Raw genomic sequence first — 18167 nt, forward strand, 5'->3', positions numbered from 1 at the left:
GAGAATTACTGGAGGTTGCAGTGAGCCGAGATCGCACCACTGCACTCCAGCCTGGGAGACAAAAATGGACAAACAAACCAACAAACAAAGTTAACATTCTGAATAGGTTTATCAACATAAAGACACTGCTAGCTAACATTGGCTAGCCTCTCTAGATCTGCTAGAGATGTTTGCCTTTCTAGATCTGCTTACCATGCTTCAGTCACCTCTATGTTGCAAGAAGTAACCTGCATGGACTGCACTGGAGAGCTACTTTTGCTCCCAGGATTCTGATTGAGTTTAGGCACTGAAAGACACCAGCTGTTCAGAGATATGGAGTAGACCTTGCTTTGTTCCCCCTGGGCCTCAGTATATTGAATTATTTTACCTGAAGTCAAAATTAGGCTGCACTGCGGCTCCAACAGTTCCAGCAGACACAGGGAGGGCAGCACTGAAAGGGCAACACTTCGTCCTGGACATCTCAAAGTCCAGCCCCCGGTGATCCCGGCAGCCATCCGCCAGACCCTCTGAGGCCACATCTGCCTCACTTCTCAACTGAGCCATCTTCCCAGCATAAACAGCCGCTGCTTCCTCCTCCTCCGCCCTCTCCTCACATCCCCTGTGAATCTGAAGCCTGCAGGCAGGAAAAAGCAGCCCTTTTTCCCTCCAACATCCCCACCCTCACCTCTCAGGAGTAGAGTGTGCTTAGTGCGCCCCCAGCCCTGTCAGTTCTTCCGACTCTTATTCCAACTCGGGAGCCCTCCCAGGCGCCTATCCTAACTGGACCTTAGGGACCTTGAGTCTACTGAAGCCAGGAAGCCCACCCCTTGAAAACCTCCGGTGACTTCACAAGGATACCCAGCCCCTAGTCGGGCAAGAGACCATTCTCTGGGGAAAGAAAATTCTGTGGTGGCTTGTAGGTTCCTCTTTCTTTTCTCTGACCTCTTTTCTCAGTTCTGCTCATTTCACTCCTCTAGTGGGAAGACCTCAACCCTCCTCTCCCTTCCTCTACCCACTGTCAAGGTACACACACACACACACACACACACACACACACACACACAGACACATCCACCTGGGGCTGCTCGACGTTTTCCTCCTCTGTCTTCCCTGGAGTCTTCCCTTGTCTTTCCTGTGCAGCAGAAGGTGGATGGTGATTCTCATCCACCTTCAATGCCCTATACTCCCCACACGGAGGAGACACATTGGTGAAATAGGATTGATTTTTGTCCCCTGGTGGACCAGCAGATGTCCTGGTTTCTGCCTCACACACCAAAGGAAGTGCTTGACTGCTTTTTTCAGCTTGGGTTAACCTGCTGATCCATCAGCATAGCTTGTTACAGATATAATCCAGGTTATGTACGTGTGCTGGAGACAGCCACATGCCACCCTGGAAGTCCCTCACGGCTCTTCCTGGTCTTCTTTTCTCAGCCAGGAGATAGAGGAAAAGCGTCAGTGGGGCTGGGAAATCAATGACTGCCTGAGTTTCCTAACTTCCACATCACTTCTGGAGCCATGCCAGTTAGGGATCTCACCAGTCCTTTAATGTGCCCTGGGGGAGACCATTGTAATAGCACTTGAAATCCCAGAGACAGCAAGGGTCCCACTGAAAGCACCTGGCACAGTATTCTCTGGTAGAATTTGGAATCCAGTTTTCCATTGACTGTTGTCAATTTTGAAACCCAAAGAAATCAGCACATGTGCTGCTGCTCTTCTGGGAGGTCCAGCAGACACAGGGTCAAATTCTGTAAAATAGTTGATGAGATTTATTGTGAACCAAATGTGAGTGACCATTAGCCCATGAAACAGCCATCAGGAGATCCTGAGAACATGTGCTTCAGGTGGTCAGTGCACAACTTGGTTTATATATATTTTAGGAAGTCATGAGATCAATACATTTAAGGTGTTGTACATTGGTTCAGTCCAGAAAGGCAGTACAACTGGAAGCATGATCTTTCAAGTTGGAGAGGTTCAAAAATTTTATGATTGGCAATTTGTTGCAATAACTATTATCTCTAGAAAGGAATGCCTGGGTTGCCATAAGGTGTTCCAGAGACAAAGGTGTCGCAGATGAAGCCTCCAGGTGGAAGACTTCAGAGAGATAGATTGTAAATGTTTCTAACCAGACTTAAAGAGTCTGTTCTATCAATAATTTTAAAAGAGAGGAGAATATAATGAGGCATGTCTGACTCCCCCTTCCCAGCATGGCTTGAAACTACTTTTTCAGTCTAACTTTGGAATGCCCTTGGCGGAGAAGAGGGGTCCATTCAGATGTTGGTGGCAGGGGGCTTCAAATTTTATTTTTGGTTTACAATAGCAATGAAGTAATAACCACATTCAAGTTTAGTAAATGAGTGAGCCCTCATCTACTATGGTTATGTTTGTGTCCTGGTCTGAAAACCAATTTTTTTTTTTTATTGTTTTCTGGAATTATTCCTGGACATGAGGACTCTACCTGTCAGAGTTCAGTTAGGAAAAGAAACCAAAGCAGCCCACACCGTGAGAGCCAAGCTAATGTGCTGCCATCCCACTGCCAAGCCATAACCAGAATGACTGTTCATCTTTTTATTGCCTCATGTCCCACTAAGCCTGCCTACCATTGTGACCCTGTTGGTAAGGCAAATTTAGAAATGGAGGTTTTAGGAGTCCAGGCCCACAACTCAAGGGAGGAAACAAAAAGGCATAAATGTGCCTAACCACGAAGAATAAACACAGTAAAATAATAACTAAATGTGTTTTAAAAGCTAAATTTTAAAGATGTTTTTTTGGGTGGGGGAGATGGAGTCTTGCTCTGTTGCCCAGGCTGGGGTGCAGTGGCGGGATCTCAGCTCACTGCAACCTCCGCCTCCCAGGTTCACACCTTTCTCCTGCCTCAGCCTCCCAAGTAGCTGGGACTACAGGCGCCCGCCAACATGCCCGGCTAATTTTTTTGCATTTTTAATAGAGATGGGGTTTCACCGTGTTGGCCAGGATGGTCTCGATCTCCTGACCTTGTGATCTGCTCGCCTCGGCCTCCCAAAGTGCTGGGATTACAGGCGTGAGCCACCGCGCCCAGCCTTTTTTTTTTTTTTTTTTTTTTGAGACAGAGTTTTGCTCTTGTTGCCCAAGCTGGACTGCAGTGGCGCAATTTTGGCTCACGGCAATCGCTGCCTCCCGATTCAAGCGATTCTCCTGCCTGAGCCTCCCGAGTAACTGGGATTACAGGCATGCGCCACCATGCCTGGCTAATTCAGTAGAGATGGGGTCTCATCATGTTGGTCAGGCTGGTCTTGAACTCCTGACCTCAGGTGATCTGCCTGCCTCGGCCTCCCAAAGTGCTGGGATAACAAATGACTTCTTTTAACACAAAAACCCAATGTACTATCACTGTACTAACTACAAGATTAGACAACAAAAAAACCATTTTATTACATGACACTATGCCATAGGCAATGAGTTCCTCTAATTGAGCACAGTTTAAAAGTTGAGACATGACCATTTTCATTTGCATCCATGAAGCTCTGTGGCTGTATGTATAATCTCAATTGGAGGAAAAATCTAACATCTACATTTGAGGCTCATGAGTCTGAGGCCTTGTTCGATTGGCCCTCCTGTGGATATCCCCTCGCCCCACTGGCCCCAAGCCTACACATCTTATTAGATTTGAGCTTAGTCCTCTGAGTGGGGTCTTGGAACCAGGAGCCTGGCTCTTGGAATATCTCCATTAATGTTTGCTGAGTTTTTAAATACATTTTTTCTTTTTTTTTTTTTCTGAGACGGAGTCTCGCTCTGTCGCCCAGGCTGGAGTGCAGTGGCGCGATCTCAGCTCACTACAAGCTCTGCCTCCTGGGTTCACGCCATTCTCCTGCCTCAGCCTCCCGAGTAGCTAGGACTACAGGTGCCCACCACAACGCCCGGCTAATTTTTTGTATTTTTAGTAGAGATGGGGTTTCACCATGTTAGCCAGGATGGTCTCGATCTCCTGACCTCGTGATCCACCCACTTCGGCCTTCCAAAGTGCTGGGATTACAGGCGTGAGCCACCACGCCCAGCCTTAAATACATTTTTTCAAAAGTAGGGATTAGAGGATAGCAGTTAGGTTCTAATGAGAGAAAAGAGATTGAAAATGTGAACGGGGTTTCCAAATGCTGCTCCACTTATTTTTTAGATATCAGACTCTGCAATCCCCTTCCTACATTTATCCCTGCATGGCAATTTTTACCAAGTGCTTCAATAATATAATCCAACTTACAAATATTTATAATATTCACCTGAATTCAATATTGTGAACTTAAGAGCCATATGTCTTCAATAACCCCTTAACAGCCATCTGATTATGATTCAAATCCAGGAATTCTAATTCATTCTGGAAGCAGATACCTCTCAGATCCACTCTGAGTATACTCAAGTCCCCCACAGCTTTACTCTAAAGGAGGCAAAAGTTACAGCTGAACTAGAAACATCTGAGCCATTCCAGATTCTTCAGCCTAGCAAGGTTAAAGTCAGACCTTGAAAACAATTGAGTTCACTGGGGTCCAGTATCTGGACCTTTTATGCCATATATTCGTATATCCACTTTCCTATTTTGAAATACAAAGCAGCACCAAATTCATACAAATCTTTTCTTTCCCCACCTTCAGACAGAGTCTCCCTCTGTGGACCAGGCAGGAGTGCAGTGCCACAAACAGGGCTCACTGCAGTCTCAACATCCTGGACTTAAACAATCCTCTCACCTCAGCCTCCACAGTAGCTGGCAGCAAGGTGCATGCCACCACCTTGGGTTAATATTTTTTATTTTTTTGTAGAGATGGGGTCTCCCCATGTTGCCCAGGGTGGTCTCAGACTCCTGAGCTCAAGCAGTCCTCAACTTCAGCCTCCCAAAGTGCTGGGATTACAGACCTGAGCCACCATGCCCAAATTCACACAAACCTATGCCCCCAGCTCAGACTCTGGTGCTGCAGGCCTGTATTCTTTCTTATTTACTGAATGGCTCTTTTGAAAGCCCCCAGACAATTCTAAATCCAGTCTTACTCAACTTGAAGATTCCTTATCTTGGCTAATGACAGCAAAAATAAATAAATAAATAAAATAAATAAATAAATAAATATATATAGTTTAGCAAAATTCACAAATTTTATCTTAGAATAAATTTTATCTTTTCTTGCTTCCTTTCTTCCTCTTCTGCCTTTTTTCCTTCCTTCTTCCTTAACCATAACTCTAACTCTAAATCTAACCAGGTGACTGAATCCTTCATGGCATATTACTTGTCACCCTCTACATCAGCATCCCCCCTTCCCAGGAGAAATTGCATCTTCCCTTTCACTTTCCTTAGCAGAGGATTCCTGGTAACTCCATACAGAAAGATTCTCCTGGTGTTCTTCAGACTTGAGGAAAAGCAGATTCCTCTCACAAGGGTGCTTGTTGGTTCAAATTAGCATCATGACGTTCACGAATTCCATTATACTGTTAAATCAGAATTCTGCTTTCAGAAGACCAAATTCACAATATCCTGAAGCACCACTGATTTCCTCCTACAGGAAAGACAAACACACACACATAATTGTTAGTCAAGAGTTTATCGGTCACCAAAATTGGGTAAACTTTTGGAACTTGTCAGTGAATACAGCCCCAAATTACTACAGCAAATGGAACCAGGAAGAAGAAATTCTGTGGAGGAACTAGGAGGAAGAACATGTGTGGAGGTGCATTGGAGTGGTAGTCACAGGGCTCCCCTGCACCTTGCAGGGTCTAGTGGATCCTGCGGTTTATAATCTATCAAACATTTGTAGAGAGTGTTTTACAAAACAAACAGACAAAACAAACAAAAAAACAGACACAAAACCCTCTAAGTTACAGGTAAGCTTAGGACAGGCAGGAAATTGGGAGGGTGAATCTTCAATCCCAGAGACCAACAGCAAATGGTTCATTTTTTGTAGGTGAACCAGAGGCATGGTGGAGCCCTCCGTTGGCACCAAGCAGAATTCTTCACTTTCTTACTCTAGATTACTTACCCTGGGACATTTTTGCCTTTTACTTTCTGTCTAGACTCCTGCATGATCTTTGTTTTTACCTGCTCTACTACAGTTATAACTGTTACCATCTTTTCTGAGCCTAAAATCAAGAACCAATACCTGACAAAGAAGTAGATTGTTAAAACCAAGAGTTTCTCTGTATCAGGAAAGTATTCATATGAATTCCTGCCTCCTAATTTATTAGTTGCCCAGCTTTCTGCAACATACCAACTGACCAGAAGATTCACCTGTACACACCACCTGAGTGTTGGGGACTTTTTCTTTCTTGGCCCTCCCACCTCCCACCGTTTTTCTGTTTTGTGTCACTTTCATTTGGTTAATAATATTCTAACAAGATTTGTCATTATAGTTATCTTAGTTTGATGAGATTTTTCTTCATGAAATTGAACAAAAATATCAGTCTTTGTTAATTCTTTATTATTTATTGTTTCGGATGACACAGCAGGAAGGGAAATAGGAAAGGCTCTACATCATTTGTCGTATGTGCTCCACAATTTGCCCTCAAGTTTGAATCCTAGGTCCTACCACCCACACAAAACTGCCATTGCCAGCCTGCTCAATTCTACCCAATCTCTAGCCATTTTCATACTGCAAAGTTCCTATGACCTCCTCCCAAGGAGCTCAATTCTGTACTTTACCTCTTCCTGACCTCCCTGGAATCCACCCCGCCTCCAACCACACTGTAATTAGAATCTGAATTCTGCAACTACCTTGATGTTAGTCTCTGTAGGGGAGCAGCCTGCAGCCTCCTATGGACTCCCATTAAGACAGGATATTCCTTCCGTCTAGGGGGTGCTGATTGCAACTTTTTTGCTAAGATGAAAAGCTGGAGTCGAAATGAGAAGAGAGGAGTTGTGGCAGGTATTTTGTTTTGCAATGGCTCCAGACTGCTCTTCCGTTTGATAAAGTGGCTGTAACTATGTGGGTGGGAACAGTGCAGTTTTTTCTTTATTCTCCCACCCACAAAACCAGGAGGAAATTGGAAGGGCCTCAAATACCAGGGAATGTTTTGGCTAGCTGAAGACGGGGTAAGGTGGGAAGGAGATATTGAGGCAAACATCTTGGGAGAGGGTGAGAATTACAAGGCCAAAATGGATTTCCTTACCAGGCAGGCATATCTCTGCCTTTGTCCTGGCATGGCCTCTACCTAGGATGCCCCAGGGAAAGGATAGTTTGGTTTGCACAGGAGCAGCAGTGATGAAAATCGGAAATGATGAGTGTGGTTGGAGATATTTGTGGCAGGGTTTGTAGGTCTCTTTGAGGGGGCTCAACTCACAAAGTGCAGATTTTTATTAAAATATAAATGCTTGTGGGAAAGGACATTTTCCTACTGAGCAGTGGCAGTCCCATATTTCTTCTCAGATTTAAAAAAAAAAAGGCCTCAGTCTGAAAAGTGAGGAGATGGAGGATTTGAGCACTTACAAGTTCACCTGCATTGCATTTCCCAGAAGATAGAAATCAATGATGCATTTTGAAGATCATGCTGCTAGAGACAGAGAACCACAACTTGAGCTTTTCTCTGGGCTTAGAGAGGAGGTGTATGTCTCGCTGTCAATTCTACATCCAACGCTGGAATCTTTCAGCCCATTTTCCTCCCCGGCTGTTTTTGAACTACTATCCCCAAATATCGAGGATATCTGACAGAGTGAACCATCAGAATAAGGAGCGATTGCCACAGAGTTCCATCCAGTAGGGGAGGGACTTGATGTGCGGGGCAAGCCTGATGCCCGGGTCAGGCGACTGTGCCTTTCATTCTCCACGGAGATCTTGAACCTAGAGTTTCCAAGTTCCGAAGAGATGCGGTTGTCGACAGCTCTCCTAGAATCTCTGATGGCTCTGAACGGGGACAAAGGTCTAGGGCAGAGGGATGGTGTGGAAGGACCCAGCCACGGCCATTGGAAGAGCAGTTTCCTGCAATGTAATGCTGTTTGCGACCAGCATAAGCTTTAGCTCTCTCCCAGGACGAGCCACATCCGCCCCATTCACGGTCCTTATTCCAGCTCCTTTCCCTCTGCGAATCACACTGGGTGGGTCGCTGGGGGCCTCGGTAATTACGGATTATGGCACAGCCAAGAAAAATACAGGTTTTCTTAAGCCTGAAGCCACTGACTTGAGGGGGGAGAGTAGGAGTAATGCCAGCAGCAGTTTTGTATTTGGTTTTTGTTTTTATATTCTAGTCTCTAGGCCACAAGACAATGTTGCACCCAGTGCCAGTCGATCCGTCACGGCGCCGCAAACTTTCCCTGAACGGAGGGTTTGTGGCTGACATCTCTAGTTTCTCAGAGCCTGGGAGTGATCACTGGCTGCACCGCTGATGGCGCCCAAAAGAACGCGCATTTGTCTTTGGCAACAGCGCTGGGTTTCGCCTCGTGCCCGCGCCTGAAGGGTCCTAGCGCCGCCAGATTCTCACACTCGCGGGTCCAGCGCCCAGCGCTGCTCCTCCCACCAGTCATCGGTTTCTCACACGCACTTCATTGGCAGCACTGGCGAGTCAGTTTTCCGGTGGCGGCGGCGCTAGTTGGTCTGCACGAAACGTTTCCCTTCTCGCTCCGTGTGTCCCATTCTCCATCCCACGTCCTCCAGTGCCGGGGTCATGGTCGCAGCACCCGGCGTTCCCGTTGGCTCTTTTGCCGCTGCGCGGAGCCGGCGGTTTTTCTGTCACAGCACTTGTACGGAGTTTCTCGGCGGCCGAACGTCTCTTTTTTTCTCAGAGACGACGGTTTCTTGGTGACAGTACCGTTGGTTGCGCCGTAACGAATGTTCTCCTTGACAGCCCCACCAGCTGGCGTCACTCGCAGGCTCCAGACGCCGCCATTTCGCCAAGCCGAGGTCTCTTGGTTGCGGCACTGCTTCTGGCTCGGTGCCTGTATTTTCTCGGTGCCTACAGCGCCCAGGTCGCCGATCTGAGGGCTTCGGAGTACCGGCCGGGCGCGGTGGCTCACGCCTGTAATCCCAGCACTTTGGGAGGCCGAGGCGGGCGGATCAGGAGGTCAGGAGATCGAGACCATCCTGGCTAACACGGTGAAACCCCGTCTCTACTAAAAATACAAAAAAATTAGCCGGGCGTGGTGGCGGGTCCCTGTAGTCCCAGCTCCTCGGGAGGCTGAGGCAGGAGAATGGCGTGAATCCGGGAGGCGGAGCTTGCAGTGAGCCGAGATCGCGCCACTGCACTCCAGCTTGGGCGACAGAGCGAGACTCCAACTCAAAAAAAAAAAAAAAAAAAAAAAGAAAAGAAAAAGAAATCTGGGTACCCGCGAATGCGATTTTTTTTAGGTTTACCGATGATCAGTTTAGCAGTGCCTGGGAGCTCTTATACCAAGTTTGTTTTCGCAATATTGAGTCCCACCTTAGCTAAGCTTGTGTGTATTTTAAACTCCCATGGAAGTCAGGAAATGTCCGCAAACGCGATTTCTGGTTACCAAGCTCCGTTTGGCAATAGCAAGTCCTGCCGAACGCGACTTTTTCCTCTTGTGGACCAAGTCTGAATAGACCAGCTACTGCGATTTTTAAGTCGTAGTAAAAAAGGTTTAACCGTGACTGCTTTTTTTTGTTGGTGTTGTTTGTTTTTGTTTTTGTTTTCGTAGGAAATGTAGACTTAGGTGTAACATGTACCGGTTTAGATCTGACAGAGATATCACAATTGTAGGATTGCATCTTTTAGCAAGGTTTGTAATTTCTTCTTTCTAGGATTGGTTCTCTGTAATTTTTGCTTATTTTTAAATTCTCTCTTTGTCTTTTGCTCTGAGAACGATGTTACCGATGTGTTTGCTTTCCATGTTTACTTGCATTTTAGCCTTTATTTTTTTAATTTTGATTTTATTTAAATGTTATGTATTTTTTTTCTACTAATTTTGAGCGTCTCAGCTTCCTGCTTCTTTACTTACATTCTCTCAGGATCCGGGGAGCCGAGCTCGGTCTCAGTCTCCCTGCTGTCAGGTGCCAGGTTGTGTCTGGTGGCTCTCCTTCGTATGCGGAGCTGATGGTTTTGCATCAGCGCTTTTGCCAGTAGAGCCGACTAGCGTTTTCTCAGTTACGGCACCGTTCTTAGCGCCCAGTGTGACGTTTCCCATTCGCCAGGTCCTTATGTTCTCTGTGCTGTCACTTTCTTGGTTCTCGCACCGCTAGTATCTGCTAAAGAACTTCCTAAACCATGTTTTACTGTGCAGAACGGTGATTGCACGGAGCCGCTGTACGCACTAGTAATTTCATAGCACCGTTAGCTGGCGCTTTTTCTGTCACAACACATTAAAACGGGTTAAAATACTGCAAGCGGATTAAACACATTAAGAGGATTAAAACATTAAAATGTCTCAACACATTTTTCTGACACAACACATTTAAACGGAGTGGGTTCATTCCTCCGAAGAGGATGTTTAGGCGTGGAAGCACCGCTGTTTCCCAAGAGCACGGTTTCTCTCTGGCAGCACCACTTATGGCACCAAAACAGGTATTTTTTGGCAACACCAGCACTATTCGCTAGGTGCCGGCGCTTGCTGAGTCCCAGCGCCGCCAGTTTCTCTTTCGGTCGTTAAGTAGCTCAGAGCCCTAGCGGACAGTTTTCAGGTGGCAGTAATGCTCATTTCCTGGAACAGATGGTTCGTGGCCCTTGAAGCGCTGCGATCTGTAAAGCTAGTTCTCTGCAAGGTTTGCTTAGTGTCTGTTTTATTTCGGTTTCTTTTCTTGCTATGTTTATCTGTCGGAATTACAGTTTGTTTTGGTTCTATGTAATCTCTAAAATGTTATCGTTTTTCTTTTGACTACTAATTTTTGTGCATTCATTACTATTGAGTTTCATAATACCTGGCTTGCCTCCGCCCACGGCCTCCGGAAAGCATAAATGTCCAGGCTAATGGGAGTGCTGAAGGCTCTGCCTCGTTGATCAGCACAAACGCTTGTGTCCTGCTCTAAGGCTTAAGCGATGGAGCAACGTTTTCTTGGCTGTGCGAAGGGGGCTTGGGATTCCGCAGAGGTGGCGCCAAAGCCCCAGCCTCCACCTGCTCTGGGTTCAGAAGGTTGTGGGCGGTGGCCTCTCCCTTTTTATCCAGTACTGGGAGAGTACTCATTGGACAGCTGTAATTTGGGACTGCTTTCCAGCCCTTGTTAGTGGCTTCAATTAAATACTTTATCAGAAAAATAGAAACTTTAAGCCCAAATGATTTTTCAGGTTCACTTGATTTAAGTAAATCTTTGACAAATAAGCTGCATTTAAAATTATCAGTAAAATAAAATTAGAAATGTCTTCAGAATTGTCAATATACATTATTGTTTAGATTTATTGGTCAGCGGTTTCTGATTTATCTCTGCTAGATATTATAAGGCGTGAAAATTTGGCATGAAGGTTATAAATCTATAAATGCAACCCCAAACAGAATTATCTTTGTTCATGTAATTTTGGTAAATAAGGCATTTAATATCATTGGTTTAAAGAAAACAGCTAAATCTTGGGTTACTGACAGAAGAGAAAAATCCATTTATTTAACCTTAAGGTTCTTACTTAGGTAAACACCTGATATTCACAGTCTATAATAATGGTTGACAGGGACATAACTGTAACTGGCCCATATGTTCATTTTGCCTGTTGCCCAGATAGAGTTGATTTGTCAAGACAGCGAATTGCAATAAAGAGTTTAATATGGGCAGAGTTGGCTAAATTGGAGACCTGAATTTTATTATTACTCAAATCAGCCTCCCAGAAAATTCAGAAGCCAAGGTTTTTCAAGGATAGTTTGGCAGAAGGGTGCTGCTGCTCAGCTGAGGAACAATCACAGGGGTGTGGAAAACAGTCCTCCTGCACTCAGTCCATTTCTTGAGTGGCGGCCACAGAGGAGTGGCTGATGCTGTTGGGGCCATCAAAGTCTGAAAAGTCATCTCAAAAAGCCAAACCTAGGTTCTAGTAATTAGGGAAGTTGCAAATCTTGTGACCTCTGGAATAAAGGCTGGTAATCCTTTAACTATGCCCACATCTTAGCAGAAATCAGGCCCTTCTCATCCTCCTAACCTGGTGGGCTTTCATCAGCTTTACAAAGATGGTTTAGTTTTGGGAAGGGCTATTATCATATAAACTATAAACTAAATTTCTCCCTAAGTTAGGTTGGCCCATGCCCAGATCAAGGGCTGTTTGGAGGTTAAAGGCAAGATGGAGTTCGTTAGGTCAGGTCTCTGTCACTGTCAATATTTTCTCACTGTTAAAATTTTGCAAAGCTGGTTTCATGACTTTAAATGATAGCTAGCTATGTCTAATATCACAGATTTTATAAGTAATCTAGGTAAACTATTTTAAAAAATAAATTAGTTAGGTAAATGTAATGGAATAAATGCTTATAAGTAAACATACAATTTAGAATCTTAAAGTTAAATTAAATAATAGTCATTAAATGTCCAGGTCATGTCCAATTTTTAAAAAATTGTAGGAAAACATTTTTCCAAAAAAAGTGTTCTTATTAAAAGGAAAATAGTTTTGTCTAATTCACAGATTATTTGTGAAACAAGATAAAAGAAACCAGAAAAAAGAGAGAGAGATAGGCCAGGTGTGGTGGTCTGTAATCCCAGCATTTTGGGATGCTAAGGGGGGCAGATCATTTGAGATCAGGAGTTCAAGACCAGTCTGGCCAATATGGTGAAACCCCGTCTCTGACAAAAATACAAAAATTAGGCCAGGCACAGTGGCTCACGCCTGTAATCCCAGCACTTTGGGAGGCCAAGAAGATGGATCACGAGATCAGGAGATCGAGACCATTCTAGCTAACATGGTGAAACCCCGTCTCTACTAAAAACACAAAAATTAGCAGGGCGTGGTAGTGGGCACCTGTAGTCCCAGCTACTTGGGAGGCTGAGGCAGGAGAATGGCGTGAACCTGGGAGGTGGAGCTTGCAGTGAGCTGATATCGCACCACTGCACTCCAGCCTGGGCAACAGAGCAAGACTCCATCTCAAAAAAAAAAAAAATTATGTTATCTAGTTGGCTATAAATAAAAGGAAATTACAACAGTCTTTCTAGAGATTGGGCTTTGATACAAAAAAATACATTAATACTCAAAAGACTTGGTTAGAACAACATTTTTGTAAAATATTATTTACTCTTAATAAGTTATATTTTAATTTACCCAAATTTTCAACTTTTATTGCATCTCAATGTTTTCAGCTTTCTCTCTATTATTTATTTATTATTATTATTATTATTTTCTGTCTTTTTTTTAAGACGGAGTCTTGCTCTGTCACCATGCTGGAGTGCAGTGGTGAGATCTAGGCTCACTGCAACCTCCACCTCCCAGGTTCAAGCGATTCTCCTGCCTCAGCCTCCCAAGTAGCTGGGACTACAGGTGCACACCACCACGCCCAGCTAATTTTTGTATTTTTAGTAAAGATGGCGTTTCACCATGTTGGTCAGGGTGGTCTCCATCTCTTAACTTCGTGATCTGCCCGCCTCAGCCTCCCAAAGTGCCGGGATTACAGGCTTGAGCCACTGCGCCAGGCCTCTCTCCTTTTTAAGGCCTGAGATAATAACTTTCCCTTCAACTTTTTTGTCAGCTCCTGTAACTTTTTTCCTTAGGTTTTAACTGTTGTTGTGGTCTGATGCTAAAAAACACTTCATCTTTAGGATCAAAACGAAATGTATTCTTCCAATATAACATTCTGTGCTCTTGACTTTTTAAAATATATCTAAATTGTTCTATGAAACCAAAAAACTTCACTTATGTCCTGGGACACACTCTTCCTATGTCTAATTAATTCAAGTGCCCTTTTCATTAGTTTTGACTTGAAGGTTGTCTAAATGGAATCCCATATGGAAAAGCACATCCTTTTTTGCCTTTTGGTAGCCAGCCTGAGAATAACATATTTTACATTTTATCAAAATAATTCCTATGTCATTACTAGGTTTTTATTTGCTCAGAAAAACTGAGATTTAAGGAGGCTGAGGCAGGCATATCACGAGGTCAGGAGTTCAAGACCAGCCTGGCCAACACAGTGAAACCCAGCTCTACTAAAAATACAAAAAATTAGCCAGAAGTGGTGGCGGGTGCCTGTAATCCTAGCTACTAGGGAGGCTGAGGCAAGAGAATCACTTGAACCTGGGAGGCGAAGGTTGCAGTAAGCCAAGATCGAGCCACTGCATACCAGCCTGGGTGACAGTGTGCGACTCTGTCTCAAAAAAAAAGAAAAGAAAAAGAAAAGAAAACTGAGATTTAAAAAAATTAAGGTTAATTAAGGTTATTATATCCATGTAACTTTCTGTATTTCTTTTAAAGTTCTTGTGCTACTAATTTTCAGGGCTTTGACTCCTGAGTCTAAAAAGGTCACTAACTCCCGCTAAATTGAGAGCAATTGAAGCCTCATCTTCAGATCTAGGAGAAGATGAAAATCAGAATAAGCTGCAGTCATGAGACATGGCGCCAGAAATTAAGACTATTCAAACCCTCTAGTCCCAGGGACTATTGAAGAAGAAGTGGGTGTGTAAGCTTGTAAGGACCTATTTTAACAGATAAAATTAGTTCAGTTTCTGTATAATTTATAGATAATTTAATTTAAAGAGTTTTTTTTTTTTTTCCAGATAAGGTCTAGATCTGTCACCCAGGCTGGAGTACAGTGGCATAGTCCTAGCTCACTGCAACCTCCACCTCCCAGGCTCAAGTGATCCTACCACCTCAGCCTCCTAAGAAGCTGGGACTATAGATGTGCACCAACACGCATGGCTAATTTTTGTATTTTTTGTAGACACCGTGTTTCGCCATGTTGCCCAGGCTGGTCTCAAACTCCTGAGCTCAAGCAGTCTGCCTGCCTAGACCGCCCAAAGTGCTGAGTTTACAGGTGCGAGCCACCACAGCCAGCCTATAAAGTAAACGTGAATATCTAAGGAACACTGATGCAAGACCAGCATGTGGGACCCCATGTAAGATTAACAATGTTTTCATGGATCATTAACCCATTCTTATTAAAAAAATTATGAAAGATTATGAAAAGGTTTACAAAAGTTGTATCTTATGGTCAAGATGATTAAAATTTATTAGATTTGTCTATAATATCTGAGAAAGATTTGATTGGCTTCATGCTGTCTTTATTAGCTCTTATTGTTTGGGAAAGCAAGTCTCAAAGAGTGAAAGGTTTTGGCTTTTAGTTTTTGAAAACTTTGAGTTACTGCTTAACTAAATGAATGACTTATTTTTTACAATGACCTGTTGTGGGAAGTCAGGGACCCCAAACGGAGGGACCGGCTGAAGCCATGAAAGAAGAACGTGGATTATGAAGATTTTATGGACATTTATTAGCTCCCCAAATTAATACTTTTGTAATTTCTTATGCCTGTCTTTACTGCAATCTCTAAACATAAATTGTAAAGATTTCATGGACACTTATCACTTCCCCAATCAATACCCTTGTGATTTCCTATGCCTGTCTTTACTTTAATCTCTTAATCTTGTCAGTTGAGGAGGATGTATATCATCTCAGGACCCTGTAATAATTGCGTTAAGTACACAAATTGTACAGCATGTGTGTTTGAGCAATATGAAATGTGGGCACCCTGAAAAAAGAACAGGGTAACAGCAATTGTTCAGGGAATAAGAGAGATAACCTTAAACTCTGACCGCCGGTGAGCCGGGCAGAACAGAGCCATATTTCTCTTCTTTCAAAAGCAAATGGGAGAAATATCGCTGAATTCCGTCCCTGAGAAAGAGAATGCGCACCTAGGGGTAGGTCTCTGAACTGGCCGCCCCGGGGCGTACCTGTCTCTTATGGTCGAGATTGCAGAGGTGAAATAAACTCCAGTTTCCCATAGCGCTCCCAGGCTTATTAGGAAGAGGAAATTCCCGCCTAATAAACTTTGGTCAGACCAGTTGATCTCAAAACCCTGTCTCCTGATAAGATAATATCAGTGACAATGGTGCCAAAACTTCATTAGCAATTTTAATTTCGTTTCGGTCCTGTGGTCCTGTGATCTCGCCCTGCCTCCACTTGCCTTGTGATATTCTATTACCCTGTTAAGTACTTGATGTCTGTCACCCACACCTATTCGCACACTCCCTCCCCTTTTGAAAATCCCTAAAAAAACCTGCTGGTTTCGGTGGCTTGTGGGGCATCACAGATCCTACCAATGTGTGATGTCTCCCCCGGACGCCCAGCTTTAAAATTTCTCTCTTTTGTACTCTGTTCTTTTATTTCTCAAGCCAGTCGACGCTTAGGAAAATAGAAAAGAACCTACGTGATTATCGGCGCAGGTCCCCCGATAACCTGTGATCCTGTTTTGTGATATCAAGTGTTTTAAGTCTTTGATGTTTGACAAACTTTCCAAAATCCAATTCTAAATTCAGTCATTTTCATCTCATTAGTTTTTTTGACATTGAGTCCCCTGAAATCCAAAGAGACATATTTGGCTTAGTTGGTATAATCACACAAGAAGTATTATCAAATATAAAATGATATGTAACCATCTTTGCATTGTATTTATGTAAATGTGTTATTAGTGTTTTAAAATTGTATGAGATTCTTCTGATTGTGATATGTCTTAGTATATGTTTTCAGAACTAATTATGATTATTATATTCAAATGTTATATATCATAGATATAACCACATTTCTTTGTCAGTTGTGTCTTAAACCATGGCTATTGTAAGACTTTTGTCATCTACAATTATTGTTTTACTTAGATCCTTTCGTAGAGTGGTTTATAATCAGTTATAGAGCTCTGAGACTACCCTTTTTGTTGTTGTTGTTGTTGATGTTTGCTTTTTGAGACAGGGTCTCAATCTGTCACCTATACTGCAGTGTGGTGGCATAATCACTGCTCACTTCAGCCTTAATCTCCTAGACTCAAGCAATCCTCCCACCTAAGCCTACCAAGTAGCTGAGGCTACAGGCACGCACCATACACTCAGAGAATTTTAAAAATTTTGTAGAGATAGAGTCTCCCTCTGCTGCCCAGGCTGATCTCAAACTCTTGGGCTCAAGCAATCCTCCCACCTCAGCCTCCCAAAGTGCTGGGATTACAGGCATAAGCCACCACACCCAAGATTTTAATACATTTATCATGTCTTCATTAACAAATACCAAGTGTCTATATTGTACTACATAGTGAACAAGGTCCCAGAGATAAGTAATCAACAAGCAGACATGGACTTGGCCATAAAGTGTTTGACACCTTCATGGATTGTAAAAAAAAAAAAAAAGCATGACAACAAATAAATAAATAAAACCGTGTTTATATGATAAATGTTATCAAGAAACTTAACGCAACTTAGTTGAAAAGGTAACTAGGAGGATATTATATTAGCTACTATAGTAAGGATAGAATTGTCACAGATACTTCCACTTCGATATGAGTAATGCAATGAACAACACCAAAAAACAAACAAACCAACCTAGGCTGGGTGCAGTGGCTCGCACTTGTACTCCTAGCACTTTGGGAGGCCAAGGCAGGCGGATCACTTGAGGCAAGGAGTTCAAGACCATCCTGGCGAACATGGTGAAATGCCATCTCTACTAAAAATATAAGAAAATTTGCTGGGCGTGGTGGCCCACACCTGTAATCTCAAGTTACTCAGTAGGCTGAGGCGAGAGAATCATTTGAACCCGGGAGGCAGAGCTTGCAGTGAGCTGAGAACACACCACTGTACTCCAGCCTGGGCAACAGAGCAAGACCCTGTCTCAAAAAAAAAAAAAAAAAGGTGGAGTTACCATCATGAGAGAATATAAAGTACAAAGATTCTAAGACTAGAAAACTTTATTATGGGCCGGGCATAGTGGCTCATGCCTGTAATCCCAGCACTATGGGAGGCTGAGGCAGGAGGATCACTTGAGGCCAAAAACTCAAAACTAGCCCAGGCAACATAGTAAAATACCATCTCTAGTAAAAAAAAAAAAAAAAAAAAAATTAGCTGGATGTGTTGGTGTCTGCTTGTAGTCCCAGCCACACAGGAGGCTGAGGCAACATAATTGTTTGAGCCCAGGAGTTCAAGGCTGAAGTGAGCTGTGATGATACCACTGCATTCTAGCCTGAGCTACAGAGTGAAACCTTGCCTCCAAAATAAAAATAAACGTTTGTTACAGCCATGGACAAAGAGAAAGCAATTAATGGCTTTCAGTGAACTAAATGGGAGGTATCTAGACTAAAAAAATCTTGTAGTCTTCTGCCCAAGATGGCCTGCTGGCCTCTAGGCAAAAATGATACATGATTAGATAAAGGTGG

The 18167-nt window shown here is 43.6% G+C and overlaps 2 long non-coding RNA genes across 13 annotated transcripts in view, besides 6 other annotated features; one reads left to right on the forward strand and one right to left on the reverse strand.

Annotated features, from left to right (window-relative positions):
* Positions 524 to 1024: an enhancer, noted in NCBI's record as "H3K4me1 hESC enhancer chr5:43010287-43010787 (GRCh37/hg19 assembly coordinates)". NCBI's record gives its function as "activates a minimal SCP1, AML or CMV promoter by ChIP-STARR-seq in naive H9 embryonic stem cells {active_cell/tissue: H9 hESC(naive)}" and the evidence as "EXISTENCE:reporter gene assay evidence [ECO:0000049][PMID:30033119]".
* Positions 5068 to 18167, reverse strand: part of ANXA2R-OT1 (ANXA2R overlapping transcript 1) — a 52711-nt gene continuing 39611 nt past the window's right edge. The window contains exons 1-3 of one of the 5 annotated variants that reach the window (NR_104649.1): positions 7413 to 9150; positions 6701 to 6816; positions 5068 to 5489 (exon numbers count right to left, since the gene is read on the reverse strand). This is a non-coding gene — a long non-coding RNA (ANXA2R overlapping transcript 1). Of the gene's footprint in view, positions 5490 to 6386; positions 9151 to 9874; positions 9983 to 18167 lie in introns of those variants that run through there. The other 4 variants (NR_104650.1, NR_034086.1, NR_104651.1 and 1 more) reach the window with 4 other exon arrangements.
* Positions 5977 to 6026: an enhancer, noted in NCBI's record as "active region_22520". NCBI's record gives its function as "activates an Ori minimal core promoter by ATAC-STARR-seq in GM12878 lymphoblastoid cells {active_cell/tissue: GM12878}" and the evidence as "EXISTENCE:reporter gene assay evidence [ECO:0000049][PMID:35858748]".
* Positions 7813 to 8052: an enhancer, noted in NCBI's record as "active region_22521". NCBI's record gives its function as "activates an Ori minimal core promoter by ATAC-STARR-seq in GM12878 lymphoblastoid cells {active_cell/tissue: GM12878}" and the evidence as "EXISTENCE:reporter gene assay evidence [ECO:0000049][PMID:35858748]".
* Positions 8451 to 8973: an enhancer, noted in NCBI's record as "H3K4me1 hESC enhancer chr5:43018214-43018736 (GRCh37/hg19 assembly coordinates)". NCBI's record gives its function as "activates a minimal SCP1, AML or CMV promoter by ChIP-STARR-seq in naive H9 embryonic stem cells {active_cell/tissue: H9 hESC(naive)}" and the evidence as "EXISTENCE:reporter gene assay evidence [ECO:0000049][PMID:30033119]".
* Positions 8484 to 18035, forward strand: LOC105374748 (uncharacterized). 8 transcript variants are annotated; one of them, NR_188278.1, is made up of 4 exons: positions 8484 to 9011; positions 9575 to 9655; positions 14258 to 14448; positions 14538 to 18035. It is a non-coding gene; the product is annotated as an uncharacterized LOC105374748 (long non-coding RNA). The 8 variants fall into 8 exon arrangements; NR_188275.1 differs by having other exon boundaries at positions 14258 to 14436; NR_188279.1 differs by lacking the exon at positions 14258 to 14448.
* Positions 8513 to 8652: an enhancer, noted in NCBI's record as "active region_22522". NCBI's record gives its function as "activates an Ori minimal core promoter by ATAC-STARR-seq in GM12878 lymphoblastoid cells {active_cell/tissue: GM12878}" and the evidence as "EXISTENCE:reporter gene assay evidence [ECO:0000049][PMID:35858748]".
* Positions 10720 to 10769: an enhancer, noted in NCBI's record as "active region_22523". NCBI's record gives its function as "activates an Ori minimal core promoter by ATAC-STARR-seq in GM12878 lymphoblastoid cells {active_cell/tissue: GM12878}" and the evidence as "EXISTENCE:reporter gene assay evidence [ECO:0000049][PMID:35858748]".

The sequence above is a fragment of the Homo sapiens genome, chromosome 5, assembly GCF_000001405.40.
Source record: "Homo sapiens chromosome 5, GRCh38.p14 Primary Assembly".
NCBI lineage: Eukaryota > Metazoa > Chordata > Mammalia > Primates > Hominidae > Homo > Homo sapiens.